General features: G+C 45.8%; 1 long non-coding RNA gene and 1 pseudogene across 4 annotated transcripts in view, besides 5 other annotated features; both read right to left on the bottom strand.

Annotated features, from left to right (window-relative positions):
* ZNF433-AS1 (ZNF433 and ZNF878 antisense RNA 1) overlaps window positions 1-13486 on the bottom strand; it is a 58659-nt gene extending 45173 nt beyond the window's left edge. For all 4 annotated transcript variants that reach the window (NR_134928.1, NR_134929.1, NR_134927.1 and 1 more), the window contains exon 1: window positions 13280-13486. This is a non-coding gene — a long non-coding RNA (ZNF433 and ZNF878 antisense RNA 1). The remainder of the gene's footprint in view (window positions 1-13279) is intronic.
* Window positions 360-409: an enhancer, noted in NCBI's record as "active region_14042". NCBI's record gives its function as "activates an Ori minimal core promoter by ATAC-STARR-seq in GM12878 lymphoblastoid cells {active_cell/tissue: GM12878}" and the evidence as "EXISTENCE:reporter gene assay evidence [ECO:0000049][PMID:35858748]".
* RNA5SP464 (RNA, 5S ribosomal pseudogene 464) lies at window positions 4187-4294 on the bottom strand (annotated as a pseudogene).
* Window positions 11750-12691: an enhancer, noted in NCBI's record as "NANOG-H3K27ac-H3K4me1 hESC enhancer chr19:12099227-12100168 (GRCh37/hg19 assembly coordinates)". NCBI's record gives its function as "activates a minimal SCP1, AML or CMV promoter by ChIP-STARR-seq in naive H9 embryonic stem cells {active_cell/tissue: H9 hESC(naive)}" and the evidence as "EXISTENCE:reporter gene assay evidence [ECO:0000049][PMID:30033119]".
* Window positions 12143-12242: an enhancer, noted in NCBI's record as "active region_14041". NCBI's record gives its function as "activates an Ori minimal core promoter by ATAC-STARR-seq in GM12878 lymphoblastoid cells {active_cell/tissue: GM12878}" and the evidence as "EXISTENCE:reporter gene assay evidence [ECO:0000049][PMID:35858748]".
* Window positions 12692-13634: an enhancer, noted in NCBI's record as "NANOG-H3K27ac-H3K4me1 hESC enhancer chr19:12098284-12099226 (GRCh37/hg19 assembly coordinates)". NCBI's record gives its function as "activates a minimal SCP1, AML or CMV promoter by ChIP-STARR-seq in naive H9 embryonic stem cells {active_cell/tissue: H9 hESC(naive)}" and the evidence as "EXISTENCE:reporter gene assay evidence [ECO:0000049][PMID:30033119]".
* Window positions 13283-13372: an enhancer, noted in NCBI's record as "active region_14040". NCBI's record gives its function as "activates an Ori minimal core promoter by ATAC-STARR-seq in GM12878 lymphoblastoid cells {active_cell/tissue: GM12878}" and the evidence as "EXISTENCE:reporter gene assay evidence [ECO:0000049][PMID:35858748]".

Raw genomic sequence — 16798 nt, 5'->3', positions numbered from 1 at the left:
GATGGGTGAGACTGACAGCACTGGGGGCCTAGACTCTATTCCTAAGAAGTTCCCATGATGCTGTGGACTCCAGACATTTATTCCATGACTTGGTTATCACTTGGTGTATACCCACTTTCTTCCATAAAGCGATTCTGATGCTAAAACTGAACTAAGCAATACCAACAGCAGAACAGGAAATGTCTTTTCAGTGAATCCAGAAAGAAAAGCACGCTGCCTGGGCTGTCCCTAATGTCTGTCTGTAGTGTGTGTCTACAGCGCCTGTCATAACAAAGTCCTCTGAATTCATATGCAGAAAAATGTTAACATTAGCAGTCCTGAGAGTGTGTTTCCTTGAAAATGCCTGTTCACAAAGTTTAACCATTGAGGATACCTGAAAGGGAGAATTTGTTCTGACTCAATTAGCAGAAAGAAAAAACAAAAAAAACCACAACTCGATTTTTGCAAGGGACTCAACCAACCTAATTGATGAGTCATAACTAACTAAATCAAAAACTGAAGAGCAGAAACCTTTGTGAGAAACAGTATTGTGGTAGAAAAACTTAAATTGTAATTGATGAACTGCTGAAGGCTGAATGGGGACAAGGTTCAGAGGTAAAACCTCCAGGGAGCTCAGTCTTAACAAAAAGCAAATGTTTATCAAAATTTAAAACTTTTGCCCATGAGACGACACTACAAACAGAGGGAAAAGGCACCCTACCGAAAAGGGAAAGTTTCCCTTGTTCCCCTAGCAGGTGTGCAATGGGGTGTGACTTGCTTCTACAGTGCCCCGTTGCTCAAACCTCTAGGGGAGCATACAGATGGGCAGGCTGTGGGGCTCCGACCCCACAGCAGTGGAGCCCCACAGCAGTGTCAAGGGGTGAATGTTTACAGCTCCTGAAGCCCCAGTGGGGGGCGTGTGTTACAGGTGGTCTTTTAGTTTGCCTATAGGCAGCTTGTGTTAATGAGCTCAATGAGACCCTCTACCTTGTCGCAAGGACAGAGGGCTTTCTGTATCCCGGGTTCTTGCCTTAGTGTACCAGAAGAATCAGATCACACGTGGGCTTGGAGAATGAGTGAATAGTTTTATTGAGTGGAAGTGATAGGGGAGCCAGAAGCGAGATGGTCTTCCTGGGAGCTGGGCTGCTCAACGGCCCTGGCTCAGCCAAACTCTGCCTTGTCCCACCAGCCCCGCCAGTTGATGGACTGCCTCATCCGCCAGCTGATGGCCTGCTGGTGTGCCAGTGCCTATCAGTGTGCTCTTCTGCTGGCGTGCTCCTCTTGACAACCAGCTGCTTGTGTGTCTGCCCACTAGGGTCTGGGGTTTTTATAGGCCCAGAATGGGGCATGGTGGGCCAGGGTGGTCTTGGGAAATGCAACATTTGGGCAGGAAATAACTGTCCTCACCTAGGTCTGTGGGGGTGGAGCCCTAGCCAGGGATCACACCCTCCTCTACCCAGCACTTCCCTTACCCACTTCTGTATTATTTAAAGGGACCACGCTCTTCCCTTCCCAACACGTCGGTATCACCATGACATTGGAGCAAATATAAGCAAGTCATGCATCTGGCAAGGTCTTAATATTCAGAAAATATAATCAACTCCTACACTCAACTACAAAGAAAAAAATTCAAACACCCCAAATATAAAGTTTTGGAAAGAATGTTGAAAAACTGGAACTCATGTGTTCTGTCCAAAGGAATGTAAAATGGTTCAACCTCTATGGAAAACAGTATGGTGGTACTCAAAAGCTAATTTAAAAAATGTTATCCTCCAGCAACCCATTTCCAGGTCCTTTTTTTTGAGACGGAGTCTCGTTCTGTCGCCCAGGCTGGAGTGCAATGGTGCGATCTTGGCTCACTGTGACTCACTGCAAGCTCCGCCTCCCGGGTTCAAGCGATTCTCCTGCCTCAGCCTCCCAAGTGGCTGGGACTACAGGCACCCGCCACCACCCCTGGCTAATTTTTTGTATTTTTAGTAGAGACAGGGTTTCACCATGTTAGCCAGGATGGTCTCGATCTCCTGATCTCATGATCCGCCCGCCTCGGCCTCCCAAAGTGCTGGGATTACAGGCATGAGCCATTGCGCCCGGCCTTCCAGGTCTATTTTTATTCAATTCAAATAAATTGAAAACTGGATCTTGAAGAGATATTTGAAAACCATGATTCACAATAGCCAAGAGGTGGATCAATCCATCAATGTCCATTGATGGCTGAACGGATAACCAAAATGTGGTAAGCATATACATACAATGGAATATTATTTAGCCTTAGAAAATAACATCCTGTTCCATGGTATAAGCAATGGTATACTAATCGCAAAAAGCCAGTCACAAAAATAAAAATACAGTATTATTCATCTTAGAGAAGTAGATTTGTCAAACTATCTTAACTGTACATGTAAAATTCCTTCAGCTGGTACATTTTAAGATTTCTTACAATACTTAACTATAATGAATTATTGTACCAAGTAAAAAACTAATTCCTGGCCGGGCGCAGTGGCTCATGCCTGTAATCCCAGCACTTTGGGAGGCGGAGGCGGGTGGATTACCTGAGGTCAGGAGTTCGAGATCAGCCTGGGCAACACGGTGAAACCCCGTCTCTACTAAAAATACAAAATTAGCCGGACGTGGTGACACATGCCTGTAATCCCAGCTATTCAGGAGGCTGAGGCAGGAGAATCGCTTGAACCTGTGAGGCGGAGGATGCGGTGAGCCGAGATCGCGCCATTGCACTCCAGCCTGGGCAACAAGAGTAAATCTCTGTCTCACCAAAAAAAAAAAAAAAAAAAAAAAAAAAAAAAAAAAAAAATACTGATTCCTTAAAAGATGGGAAAGTATCTGAATAACACTTCTGCAAGATACATACAAATGGCTAGTAAGCACGCGAAAGATGGTCGACATCAGGAGTCATTAGGCACAAGGATTTACACAATGTAGTTGAGTGGTTATTGAGTGTTTTCCACTCATGAAAAATATTTATAAACAAAATTTAAAAATTTACACAGAGGTCAGGTGCGGTGGCTCACACCTGTAAATTCCAGCACTTTGGGAGGCTGAGGCGGGTGGATCACTTGAAGTCATGAGTTCAAGACCAGCCTGGCCAGCATGGTGAAACCCTGTCTCTACTAAAAATACAAAAAATTAGCCCAGTGTGGTGGCATACATAGGTAATCCAGCTACTCAGGAGGCTGAGGCAGGATACCAGCTTGAACCCAGGAGGTGGAGGTTGCAGTGAGCCAAGATTGCACCACTGCACTCCAGCCTGGGCGACAGAGGGAGACTGTCTCAAACTTACACAGAGCCACTTATTGCTCTGTCAAAAAATAAACAATATTGCAGCAGTTTCAAATGTATCACTGGGGACACATAGTTGATAATGTCCACTAGAGAGAAGAAATGGGTGTTCTGGAACGTGGGGAGGAAACCAGAAATTTAAGGATTTATCATCAGCCCTAGCAAGAACTAGGCTGGGGGAATCTCAAGGACTCCTTCCTTGACCAAAGTTGAGTCAGGCTCCTCAGAACCCTCTTCTTGACCAGACTTAGAGCTTAGAATGCCCTCAAACTTGGTATCTAATCAAGTTCCATTTCCCCCATCTATGATAATTAATCAGTCTCCCAACTCTTGACACCTAACCAAATTCCATCCTCTCCCTCACCCTACTCTTTAGCTATAATTCTCTTGATGCATTCCAGATTGAGTTCAATCTCTTTCCCATATTACAGTTCTCCTGACACATATTGCAATTGTGTTGAATGAAGCCTTCCTTGACATTTTTAACAAGTTTTCAGTGCAATCTCCCTTTGCATGGAATAAGGACTTAGACTTCAGACCCTGCTTCCTATGACTGGAATGGTTGGTGATAAAAAGCTTCCTTTCTTTGGGGAGGAAGGAGGGTGTCCTGAAGAGTGTCTGTACTCACAAATCCAAACACAAGGTCAGATTTCTCTCCGGATGACCACTTTGTTGTCACCCCATAAACTGGGAGAGACTGGGGGACTGTGGGCACACCACTGCCAGAGAGAACTGCGGGGTAGAGTTCATTTCCTGCAGTAATGGGCCACGATGCCTCAGAGTGCTGGCTACCAATACAGCCTCTACCCTATGTCATGAAGGGGAATGACCAGATTTTCAATATGGAAGGTTTTCTCTCATTTGGGGAATTCTCTTGTCAAATTCCCCACCCTCTTCTTCTTCTTTTTTTCAAAGCATATAGCACCCAGTATTCCCAGGCATTCTCCATCCATTTACTAACCAGGCCCAATCCCGCTTAGCTATGCCAAACAGATGCGTTTAGGGTGGCATGGCCACACAGGCTTCAATTTCTTGATGGTGTTTTTTGAAGCACAAAAGTTTTTTGTTTTTGTTTTTAGACGGAGTCTTGCTCCGTTGCCGCGGCTGGAGTGCAGTGGCGTGATCTTGGCTCACTACAACCTCCACCTCCTGGGTTCAAGCGATTCTCCTGCCTCAGTCTCCTGAGTAGCTGGGATTACAGGCGCGTGACACCACGCTCAGCTAATTTTTCTATTTGTAGTAGAGACGGTGTTTCACCGTGTTGGCCAGGCTGGTCTTGAACTCCTGACCTCATGATCCACCCACCTATGCATCCCAAAGTGCTGGGATTACAGGTGTGAGCCACCATTCCTGGCCAGATGCACAAAAGTTTTAAATTCTGATGTAGTCTAAATGACATACTTGTTCTCTGATCCTAGGGCTCCTGGTGTCATGTCATAGAATCTTTTTCCTAAGTCCAAGATCATTAAGATTTTTGGCGCCAGGTGTAGTGGCTCACACTTGTAATCCCAGCACTTTGGGAGGCCAAGGTGGGAGAATCACTTGAGGTCAGGTGTTGGAGACCAGCCTGGCCAACATGGTGAAACCCCAAATCTACTAAAAATACAAAAATTAGCTGGCAATGATGGTGCATGCCTGTAATCCCAGCTACTCAGGAGGCTGAAGCATGATAATCACTTGAACCTGGGAGGCAGAGGTTGCAGTGAGCAGAGATCATGCCCCTGGGCAACAGAGCAAGACTCTGTCAAAAAAAAGAAGAAGGCTAGGTGCAGTGGCTCACGCCTGTAATCCCAGCACTTTGGGAAGCCGACGCAGCGGATCACAAGGTCAGGAGATCAAGACCATCCTGGCTAACACAGTGAAACCCCATCTCTACTAAAAATACAAAAAAATTAGCCAGGCGTGGTGTTGGGCGCCTGTAGTCCCAGCTACTCGGGAGGCTGAGGCAGGAGAATGGTGTGAACCCGAGAGGCGGAGCTTGCAGTCAGCCAAGATTGCACCACTGCACTCCAGCCTGGGCGACAGAGCGAGACTCTGTCTCAAAAAAAAAAAAAAAAAAAAAAAAAAAAAAAAAAAAAAAAAAAAGAATGTATTCCAATATCAAACAGCAAATTTCAACAATGCAAAAAGCACAATTACTTTTCAATTACTTTTGCACCAACTTTTTCTGTTTGTTTTGTTTTCTCCCACACGTTTTGAGTTTTCTCCCTCAGTATGCATGGGAAAGGCAAAAAAAAAAAAAAGTTTTCTTTCTTTACATTTCTGAGACAATCCAGAGGACAGGAATCATTTCTCTTTCCTCTCAGGAGCAAAATCCAATTGGCTGACCAGCCATGTATCTCCAAATAATGGAAACTGGGGTTGAGGGAGAAAAGCTGAGCACCCCAAGGGGATTGGTTATCTAGATGAAGATTATACCAGGAGTCTCCTCCCACCACAAGGCATTCAGCTACTCCCTTGGGAGGCCCCACTCCTCTACTTCAGGCTGTGCTCTGGGAGGTATGACTCAGGGGCTGATATGTACTAGGCCCTCCAAGAGACATGGCAGTGGTGGGTATCTTGGCTCAGCCTAGGCAGTTCTGAAACCCAGGACCAGGAAAAATTGGAGGGGGAACGGAAGACAGATCATTCTGTAAAGTTTCCAAAAAGGAACCTCAACCCAAAGACATCCTGATGTCTGTGCCTAGGAAAAATAAAAGGAGAGGCACAAAGGTTTTGTTCACTGAGATGTGTGGTGATTTTTCTCTGCCTTCTTCTCATGTGAAATTTTCAGAAATAGCAAACAAATACTTTAAAAAGAATCATCTATTGCTCTGTGATAAAATAATAAACAATTAAAATACACTGCATCTGTTTTAAACGGGATGAATAAATACAATGTTGTACTATAAAGAAGAAATAGTTGATAATATTGTGAACTGGAGAATGGAGTTGATGTTGGAAACGCGGGAGAGAAACTGAACATTTAGGATTTCTACTGCAAGCCCTTGAAGAGTTAGCCTCGGACACAGGGTGGAGAATAGCAGACACTGCATCCAATCTATTTGGAAAATGTGGGGGAAACCAGTCCCCAAGGCGAGTGCTAAAAAATTTAAATAGGCCGGGCGCGGTGTCTCACGCCTGTAATCCCAGCACTTTGGGAGGCCGAGGTGGTTGGATCACTTGAGGTCAGGAGTTCTTGACCAGCCTGGCCAACATGGTGAAACCCAGTCTCTATTAAAAATACAAAAACTAGTGGGGCGTGGTGGTGTGTGCCTGTAATCCCAGCTACTAGAGAGGCTGAGGCCGAAGAATCACTTGAACTCGGGAGGCGGAGGTTGCAGTGAGCCGAGATCACACCACTGTACTCCAGCCTGGGCAACAGAGCTAGGCTCAGTCTCAAAAAAAAAAAAAAAAAAAAAAAAAAAAAAATTAAATGAGGCGATGCACTGTGGCTCACGCCTGTAATCCCAGCACTTTGGGTGAGACACAGAGGCTGATGGATCACTTGAGCTCAGGATTTTGAGACTAGACTGGACAACCTGGCATCTACAAAAAATACAACAATTAAGTCAGGTGTGATGGTGCATGCCTGCAGTCCTGGCTACTCAGGAGGCTGAGGTGGGAGGACTGCTCGCACCCAGAGCCCAGGAGGCAGATGTTGCAGTGAGCAAAACCCTGTCTCAAAAAAACAATAAATAAATAAATAAATGAGAAACAGTAAGACTGAACTGTGTGTAGTGCCCTAGGACCTACCTAAGGACCCTGAAATACAACTCAAATACAATTCTGATAAAATAATAATTTATAGGGAAATGAAATTTAGGCTTAACCAACCAAAATCCCCCAATTAACCTGATTACATAACCAGAACATTTTCTACCTGTACAGTCTGTGAAACTAAAGCCAAAAATGTGAGCTGTTCCATCTCTAAATTATCTTGAGCCTTAAAGCAATGTGATTAAGGTGGCATTGAGTCACATGACAGGCAGCTGGAACTTTCCTTTCCCAGACTGTGGATTTGCCTTTTTGTCTTCATTCTTACCCATATTGTTTCATAAAATTATGTCAATGTTGACATGTAAATGTTGAAGGGAGCCAGGGAAGACCCCTTCCCTCTTCACTCTTGATCTCCATTGTAGATGAACTTTCATCTTACCCTTTCTCACACAAAGACTTCATGGCTATCACACTGTCTTAAGCTGGAATGTTCAACTCACTCTTTTTTTTTTTTTTTTTTGAGACCAACTCTTGCTCTGTTACCCAGGCTGGAGTGCAATAACACGATCTCGGCTCACTGCAACCTCCTGGGTTCAAGCAATTCTCCTACCTTAGCCTCCCTAAGCCAGAAATTTAAAAAATAAATATGCATTCATTCACTCCAAGAAAAGTAACAGGCAAGGCAAAGGTTAAAAAGAAAAGAACAAGTTTTCCTCTGCCTAGCAAGCTCACTTCAAAGACAGTTATAATGCTGTTTGAGAAGTCAAAGCCAAAAGAATAGGTTCCAGACATCCCCCCTCCAGAACGAAGGTGAAGGAAAAAAAAAAAAGGAAAGAAGTCTGTATTTAGTCAGTTCTTGTTTTTCTTTAAATGCAGCTACAAGGCCACCAGCTATGCAAGGCCACAAGTTATGCTATGCTATAGATTACGTGACCTATCACTGTATGATTACTTTTATTTTGCTTCTGTAAGTTTGCTTATGAAAACCTCGCTCAGTCTTTGTTCAGTGCTCAGCTTTTTAGATGTGAATCCACTGAGCCGGTGCGTACCTTAAATGAACAATTCTCCCGTTCCTTGTATCAGTCTCTCTAGTCCTTTATTTCCCACAACATCCCAAGTAACTGGGATTACAGGTGCACGTCGCCACAGCCAGCTAATTTTGTATTTTAGTAGAGATGGGGCTTCATCGTGTTGCCCAGGCTGGTCTCAAACTCCTGAGCTAAGGCAATCCACCCACCATGGCCTCCCAAAGTGCTAGGATTACAGGCATGAGCCACTGCACCTGGCCAAACTCATTCTTTTAAATTGGGAAGGAAATGAAAATCAGCTGTCAAGAAAATAAAGGCCTAGGAGAAAAAAAGCAAACTGTAACAAATTAAATTGTTGTACCTCATACATCAGCCTTCTATGGAAAATGTAATCCTGTTCAATTTCTTTGCCTTTTGCCTATATAGGGAAGAATTTAACATCTGACTTCAGAGCACTGAGCCATTTCTCTGGAGTCTGTGTTTTCCCAAATAGGCCATTCTCAGCTTACTACTTGAATAAATGCTTCAAAACTGGAATCTGATCTTTTCAACTACTTCAAGTTGACAAGTCCAAAGAAGGCAACTGCATCACTGTAAACAATCTAGTATTTAATATGGTTTGGCTCCTCATGCAACATATTGTAAACCAAAAATATTGGAGATGCTTCTGGATCAACTTAGAAGTTTATTTTCCCAAGGTTAAGAATAGACCCAGAAGAAATCAACACGGAATCACAGCAACAGTCTGTGACTTTCTCCAAGGACAATTTTGAGGACTTCAATATATAAAGGGGAAAAGTGTGCTGGATAGGTAAGAGGGAGGGTTAGTATGTAATCCACATACTGCAACAGGAAAGAAGCAGGCAAGAGAATAGTCAGTTAGGTATTTGTGTCTCACCCAGTAAATCAACACTTTACTTGAGATACACAGTTTCCTGTGGAGATATATAACTTTTTTTTTTTTTTTTTTTAGATGCAGTCTCGCTCTGTCACCCAGGCTGGAGTGCAGTGACTCGATCGTGGCTCACTGCAACTTCTGCCTCCCAGGTTCAAGTGATTCTCCTGCCTCAGCTTCCTGATTAGCTGAGATTACAGGCACAGGCCACCATGCCTGGCTAAGTTTTGTATTTTTAGTAGAGACAGGGTTTCTCCATTTTGGTCAGGCTGGTCTCGAACTCCTGATCTAGTGATCCGCCTGCCTCAGCCTCCCAGAGTTCTGAGATTACAGGCGTAAGCCACTGTGCCCAGTCCAAGATATATAACTTTTTATCTGTAGCTATTCACTTAGCAACAAAAAGAAAGGCAACTTCTTGCTTGACTCAGCTTTTAGCTTAATATTTTCCTTTTGGTATAAAAATTGGGGTCCTGAGGTTTTATTTTCCTTTCACATTATAAAAGCCTGTCCTCCAACCTATAAGCTGTTAACAAAATTAAGCAGCTCCCCCACCAACAACTAAGTGAACTGACCTGCTCTTGGCCAAGATCACCAATAAAAACTCTCAAAATGGAGTTCCCCGCTGTGACGGGAAGATCGGAGTAGCCTCCTTATACTGTCTCTCTTTTAGAATATATACACAGCAACTGATCTACATTCATGTTCATTAGACATCGTCAGACTCACAAAACAGATTCTGTGGCAGTAAGACATGAAATTACAAACACCATCTAAAGGGACTTAAGGAAAAGGGTAATTCATGTCTCAGAATTCATAAAATCTGGTGACACAGGCCTGTTTCGTGGGCAGGGATGGAATCATGTGACAAATAACAGCCCCTCTTCCTACAGCATTCCTTCCTACCGCCTCTAAAAATTTAAATACATATATATACATATTTCCATAGGTTTATGGGGAACAGGTGGTATATGGTTACATGAGTAAGTTCTTTAGTGGTGATTTGTGAAATTTTGGTGCACCCATCACTGGAGCAGTATACACTGAACCCAATTTGTAGTCTTTCGGTTTTTGGGTTTTTTGTTTGTTGGTTTTTGAGATGGAGTCTCGCTCTGTCGCCCAGGCTGGAGTGCAGTGGCAGGATCTCGACTCACTGCAACCTGTGCCTCCTGGGTTCATGCAGTTCTCCTGTCTTAGCCTCCCGAGTAACTGGGACTACAGGCACGTGCCACCACACCCAGCTAACACTTGTATTTTTAGTAGAGACGGGGCTTCCCAATATTGGCCAGGCTGGTCTCGAACTCCTGACCTCAGGTGATCTGCCCGCCTCAGCCTCCCAAAGTACTGGGATTACAGGCGTGAGCCACCATGCCCGGCCCAATGTGTAGTCTTTTATCCCTCACACCCACCTTCCCACCCTTTCCCATCCTCCCCAGTCCCCACAGTCCATTGTATCATTCTTATGCCTTTGCATCCTCATAGCTTAGCTCCCACTTATGAGTGAGAACATAAGTGATGCTTGGTTTTCCATTTTAACGAGCTACTTCACTTAGAATAGTCTCCAATTCCATCCAGGTTGCTGCAAATGCCATTAGTTTGTTCCTTTTTATCCACCTCTGAATTTTAGACCAAAACTTCACACTCTCAACCAACTGCCACCCACAGAATCCCTCAACCACCTGTGCCTTCTAACCCCATTACCACAAGTCCCGCCTTTCGGCCAAAGGAACTCACACCTTCCAAGCACTAAGTCATGATTTTCCCTGCAATTCCTGTCTCCCTGAAATGAATAAAACCAAACTGTCATGAGCTGCCTCGGGACCACTTACTCGAGGCTTCCTGGGGTTGTTTCCCTCCGCCAAGGTCTTTCATAACACTGTAACCTTCATCTCCCGGGTTCAAGCGATCCTCCTGCCTCAGCCTCCGGAGTAGCTGGGATTACTGGTACCCACCACCATGCGCAGCTAATTTTTGTATTTTTAGACACGGGGTTGTGGGCAGCAAGCCACCCAGGTGCCAAGGCAAGAGACAGAGGGCACAAGCTGTTGCAGTATAATAAAGAAAATATATAGAATAAGAATATACTAGAAATAGATTATAGATACGATTATATATGAATATCATTAATCATTAGTTTGTAGCATTGCTCTTCACTCCAATATTATAATAATCTTTGTTCTACAATTATAACCTGGGAAAAACCAGGCCATACAGAGATAGGAGCTGAAGGGACACGATGAGAAGTGACCATCGTGGGGCTTAATTCTTGTCTTCTAGCTTCTAGCTGCATTCCTAAACAGTGATAAGGAGAAGAAATCTGGATTTGCTTGATCATAAGCCATAAGTTCTACAAGAAGTCATTGGCCATGGCTATCAGGGATAGCTTTTTCTACTGCGTCTTGAAGATGGGCAATGAAGTCTGCATAGGGTTCATGTTGTCCCTGTCTGACGGGCATAAAAGATGGACATACTTTGCCATCATCTTGAATCTTATCCCAAGCATCTAGGCAACATTTTCATAATTGTTCAATAACCTCATCATTTAGAATAGGATGATAATTTAACCTTAAATATTTCAAAACTTAAAGAACAAATTTTTGAGGCCTCACAGTCTCATTTAACTACTGCCCTGGCTCAGACATTTTTGAGGGAATAACTAAAAGATTGTCTGATCTTAATCCCTTTAAATGGATCAAACCCCTCGGAGGATCATTGTTGTCACTGGCATTATTAATATTGGTATGTTTATGTTGTCTACTTCTAGTCTGCAGATGTCTCCAAGGAGTCCGAGGACAAGTCCGAAGTCAGCGACAAGCAATGATGGCGATGACGATCCTAGTCAATAAAAACGGGGGAGATGTCGGCGGCAAGCCACCCAGGTGCCAAGGCAAGAGACCGAAGGCACAAGCTGTTTCCAGTATAATAAAGAAAATATATAGAAAAAGAATAGTTATACTAGAAATAGATTATAGATATGATTATATATGAATATCATTATCATTAGTTTGTAGCATTGCTCTTTATTCCAATATTATAATTATATTTCTTCCACAATTATAACCTAGGAAAAACATGGCCATACAGAGATAGGAGCTGAAGGGACACGGTAAGAAGTGACCAGAAGACAAGTGTGAGCCCTCTGTTACGCCTGGACGGGGCCACTAGAGGGCTCCCTGGTCTAGCGGTAACGCCAGCGCCTGGGAAGGCACCCGTTACTTAGCAGACTGGGAAAGAGTCTCCCTTTCCCCGGGGGAGTTAGAGAAGACTCTGCTCCACCACCTCTCGGGGAAGGCCTGACATCAGCCAGGCCCACCCGCAGCCATCCGGAGGCCTGACCATCTCCCTGTGATGCTGTGCTTCAGCGGTCACGCTCCTGGTCCGCTTTCATATTCCACCCTGTACACCTGGCTCTGCCTTCTAGATAGCAGCAGCAGAAATAGTGAAAGTACTAAAGTCTTTGAAATGCATAGAAGAAATAATGACATAAGCTGTCCTCTCTCCCCGCCTTAGCTACCAAATAGGGAAGGGCCCCCTGTCTGGCGGACACGTGACTCGCATGACCTTACCTATCATTGGAGATGACTCACACTCCTTACCCTCCCCCCTTGTCTTGTATCCAATAAATAACAGCGCAGCCAGGCATTCGGGGCCACTACCGGTCTCCGCACCTAGGTGGTAGTGGTCCCCCCGGCCTAGCTGTCTTTTCTTCTCTTTGTCTTGTGTCTTTATTTCTATGATCTCTTGTCTCCGCACACGAGGAAAAAAACCCACAGGCCCAGTAGGGCTGGACCCTACATAGGGTTTGTTGGCCAGGCTGGTCTCAAACTCCTGACCTTAGGTGACCCACCCATCTCGGCCAGCCAAAGTGCTAGGACTACAGGTGTAAGCCACCACGCCAGGTCAAAATAAAACTTCTTTAAGTTATTTTACTGTTTGGTTTTTTTTTTCCGTTAACAAGTCATGACCCGGTGTTTCTCCTTCATGATTGGCTGTTTACCCAAAATACTCTTTACTTGTTAACAGTGTCTCAGTTTAATTTTTAACAGAAGAAACGTGCGACTGGGAACCCCACACACGAGGCGGGATTCCCTCCACGACTTCCGCACAATTTGGGGAGACGCGCGGCTGCGGGCGCAGAGCTCCCCAGAGAGAGCTCCGGGGCAGGGGTCCCAGTCGCCGAGCAGGGACGACAGGACGCCTGGGGTCCCGACTGCCGCCCAGACCCACCCTGAGGCCAAGGGGACCCAGGGCTGAGCTGCGCCAGGGGAACTCGGGCCTCAGACCCCCGAGTCGCAACATGGAGGCCCGCGTTCCGATTCCGCGGTTCTGACTAGACCGTCCCCTAACCCCCAAACCCACCTCGGGGTTTCCGGCTCCGCACACTCACCATTTTTCAGCTTCCAGATATTCCGGCGTCTCCTGCAGAACTCCCGTGAGCAGTCCAGGACACGGCGCAGGCAATAGAGAGACAAAAGCTACGGAGGAGGGACCTGGTCCCTCTCAGAGCAGGAAAGAAAGAATCCCGACTTCGGGTTTCCTCTAGCAGCCAGGCAATGAGAAGACCGGCAATGCTGCGCCCTCCTTCCGGCGGATTAAACAGTTGGCAGGGCCCCGCCCCAGCACCCCGATTGGATAGGGCATCCTACCCCGCCCCCTCAGCCCTGAGTGACAGCAGAAGCCCCGGGTAACAGGGCGCTGCAGAGCCGGTCGCTGCTATTCCAGCCGCAGGTTCCCTAAATGGGCTCACTTTCAGCTCCCTGCTCTTCGGATACTGGCATTTGAGCCAAACTTGCTCCTAACTGCTATAAGGGACACTGTTGTCTTTTTCACTCAATGGGGTCCTTCGTCCTGCACAGGGTCACAAATGTGTGTAGGGAATTCCAGACTCAAGAGTCCAACGGAGGTGAAGGAAATTAAATTTTTTTACTCCAAAATATATTTGACTTTTTTTTTTTTTTTTTTTTGACACTGGGTCTCACTTTGTCACCCAAGCTGGAGTGCAGTGGCGCTATCCTGGCTCACGACAATCTCCACCTCCTGGGTTTAAGCGATTTTACTGTCTCAGCCTCCCTAGTAGCTGGGACTACAGGTGTGCTCCACCACCCCTGTTAATTTTTGTATTTTTAGTAGAGACGGGGTTTCAGCCAGGCTGGTCTCGAACTCTTGAGCTCAAGCGATCCGCCCCAGCCTCCCACAGTGCTAGGATTACAGGCGTGAGCCACCGCGCCCGGTTACTCCTTTGACATATTTTGAAATCGTGGCCGCTTGGCCAACAGTGTGGTCTTGCAAAGGTGCCTTTGGGAGGAAAATGCGCATCTGCGGAGAATCTCCGTTAACAAAGCCATGGCCTCCTCCCTGCTTATTTCCCTTCACTGGAACTAGTAGAGATTCGGGGTCTGACGTCTTTAAAACCTGAACACAGGTAGGAAGCCGTGACTCACGCCTCCTATCCCAGCAATTCCGGAGGCCGAGGCTGGAGGATCCCTTAAAGCAAGCTTGTCCAACCTATGGCCTGCGGGCTAAGGACGGCTTTGAATACAGCCCAACACAAATTAGTAAACTTTCTTAAAATATTTAAAAATTTTTTTTGCGATTTTCTGCCGTGCACTGTGGCTCACGCCTGTAATCCCAGCACTTTGGGAGGCCGAGGCAGGCAGATTACAAGGTCAGGAGTTCAAGACCAGCCTGGCCAATATGTGAAACCCCATCTCTACTAAAAATACAAAAATTAGCCAGGTGTGGTGGCAGGCGTCTGTAGTCCCAGGTACTCAGGAGGCTGAGGCAGGAGAATCGCTTGAACCCGAAGGTGGAGGTTGCAGTGAGCCAAGATTACACCACTACACTCCAGTGTGGGCGACAGAGTGAGACTCTGGCTAAAAAAAAAAAATACAGTTTTTTTGCGATTTTTTTTCTTTCTTTTCTTTTTTCTTTTTTCTTTTTTTTTTTTTAGCTCATCAGCTTTGTTTTATGTGTGGCCCAAGACAATTCTTCTTTCAGTGTGGCCCAGGGAAGGCAAAAGATTGGACATCCCTGCCTTAAAGCAAGGAGTTGAAGGCCTGGTCAACACAGGGAGACTCCCACCTTCATTATTTAAGTATCCAAATAAAAAGAAAAATGTTAAAAAGTTGGAAAAGAAGCATTTCTCTTCTCTCTGTGAGAGGCTTCATTTATATAACAGTCCATCTTTGCTAGCCAAGCCCCTTTCTTTCCCTCTCTCAGAAGATGTCTTGCCACTACATCCGATTTGCCAACATAACATGTGATTTTTGGACCATAATGAGTCTGCATTCTTTGCTGTCCTCAGGATGGTATATAAGCTTTTCTGTGTTATTGCTGGGGAGTCTTCATTCTGAAGGCTCTTGTGTGTATACACTAAATAAATTTGTATGCCTTTTCAGAGTTACTCCAACTGCCTCATGTCAATGAGTTTTCAGCAAACCTTTAGGACAGACACCAAGGGCCTATTGCCCCCACAAAGCCACCCCCTTTGCCTCAGAGCAGGAAGGGAACCCAGACCAGGCCAAGAATGACCACACCAGGAGGGAGAAGCAGATGTCCTCCAGAGAGCCAGAAATGCAGATGAGGCAAAGCCAAAGCATCCTCATCTTCGCTCCCCTCACCCCCACTCCGCGCCCCCTCACAGTGTAGAAATGCTCTCTCCTTCCAGATCTTCATTTTCCTCAGCAGGAAACTCTCACCTGGTGATAATTTAAGCTCTGACCTAAATAAACTGTCAATTTCATAAACCCTGTTATAAGACAAACCCAACAAGTCTCACTGAGGCTGACCTTCACAGATTTTCTTCATATGTAACAATTACATTCTGACCCCAGCGACCCTATACATGTCAAAACCAAAACACTTCCCAGAAAATGGCCCCAGGCTCCAGAAGGGCAACCTCAGAAAGGATGGAACCCCCTAAGCGCACCTGCACGTGGGTCTCCTGCTTTCCAGGGCCCTGCAGCTTCTCAGAATCCACACTCTCTGCAGCTGTTCTGGGCAGCTGGAGGCCACCTGCAGGGGAAGGCGGGGAGCCCCGGAAGCCCCCAAGGAACTCCCTTTCCCTTCCTTTGCAGGCCCACACTGGCCTCAGGCTCTGCTGCCCCCTGTAGGTTATTCAGCTGTTTCTCACTTCATTGATCAGTTTCATGAGACAAACACCCTCAATCCCACTGTGTGAATAAGACACCAATAGAGTCCCTGCTCTCCTCATGATTGTGTGTATAAAGTGGGGAAGACAAATTCTAAGATATTTAAATGCATTAAAAGACTTCTAAATCGCAACTTGGTAGTGGCAGCTGAGGGCCCTGCAGCAGCAGCTGTTCTAAAGCACAAGCCAGGCAGTGGGATTGGGGCTCCTGGGATGTGGTGCCTGAGGTGGAGAGAGGCAGCAGCGCCCACAGAGCTCGGGCATGGATCTGATGCCCACCAAAATGGTAGTACCCAAAGGAGAAAGTTCGCATTTTCGGCCGGGCGCAGTGGCTCACATCTGTAATCCCAGCATTTTGGGAGGCGTAGATGGGGGGATAACCTGAGGTCAGGAGTTGCAGACCATCCTGGCCAACATGACAAAACCCCATCTCTACTAAAAGTACAAAAATTAGCTGGGCATGGTGGCAGGTGCCTGTAATCCCAGCTACTCAGGAGGCTGAGGCAGGAGAATCACCTGAACCTGGGAGGTGGAGGTTGCAGTGAGCCGAGATCAGGCCACTGCACTCCAGCCTAGGCGACAAGAGTGAGACCCTTTCTCAGAAAAAAAAAGAAAAAACTTGCACTCATTCTCCAAGCCCACGTGTGATACAATTCTTCCAGTATACCAAGGCAAGAACCTTAGGATACAGAAAGCCCTCTGTCCTTGTGATAAGGCAGGGGTCTAATTGAGCATGGTTCATGGTAGCTTGGAATT

Source organism: Homo sapiens, chromosome 19, assembly GCF_000001405.40.
Source record: "Homo sapiens chromosome 19, GRCh38.p14 Primary Assembly".
In the NCBI taxonomy this organism is placed as follows: Eukaryota; Metazoa; Chordata; class Mammalia; order Primates; family Hominidae; genus Homo; species Homo sapiens.
The sequence above is the reverse complement of the archived record's forward strand: the minus strand, read 5'-3'. Positions and strand labels throughout refer to the sequence as shown.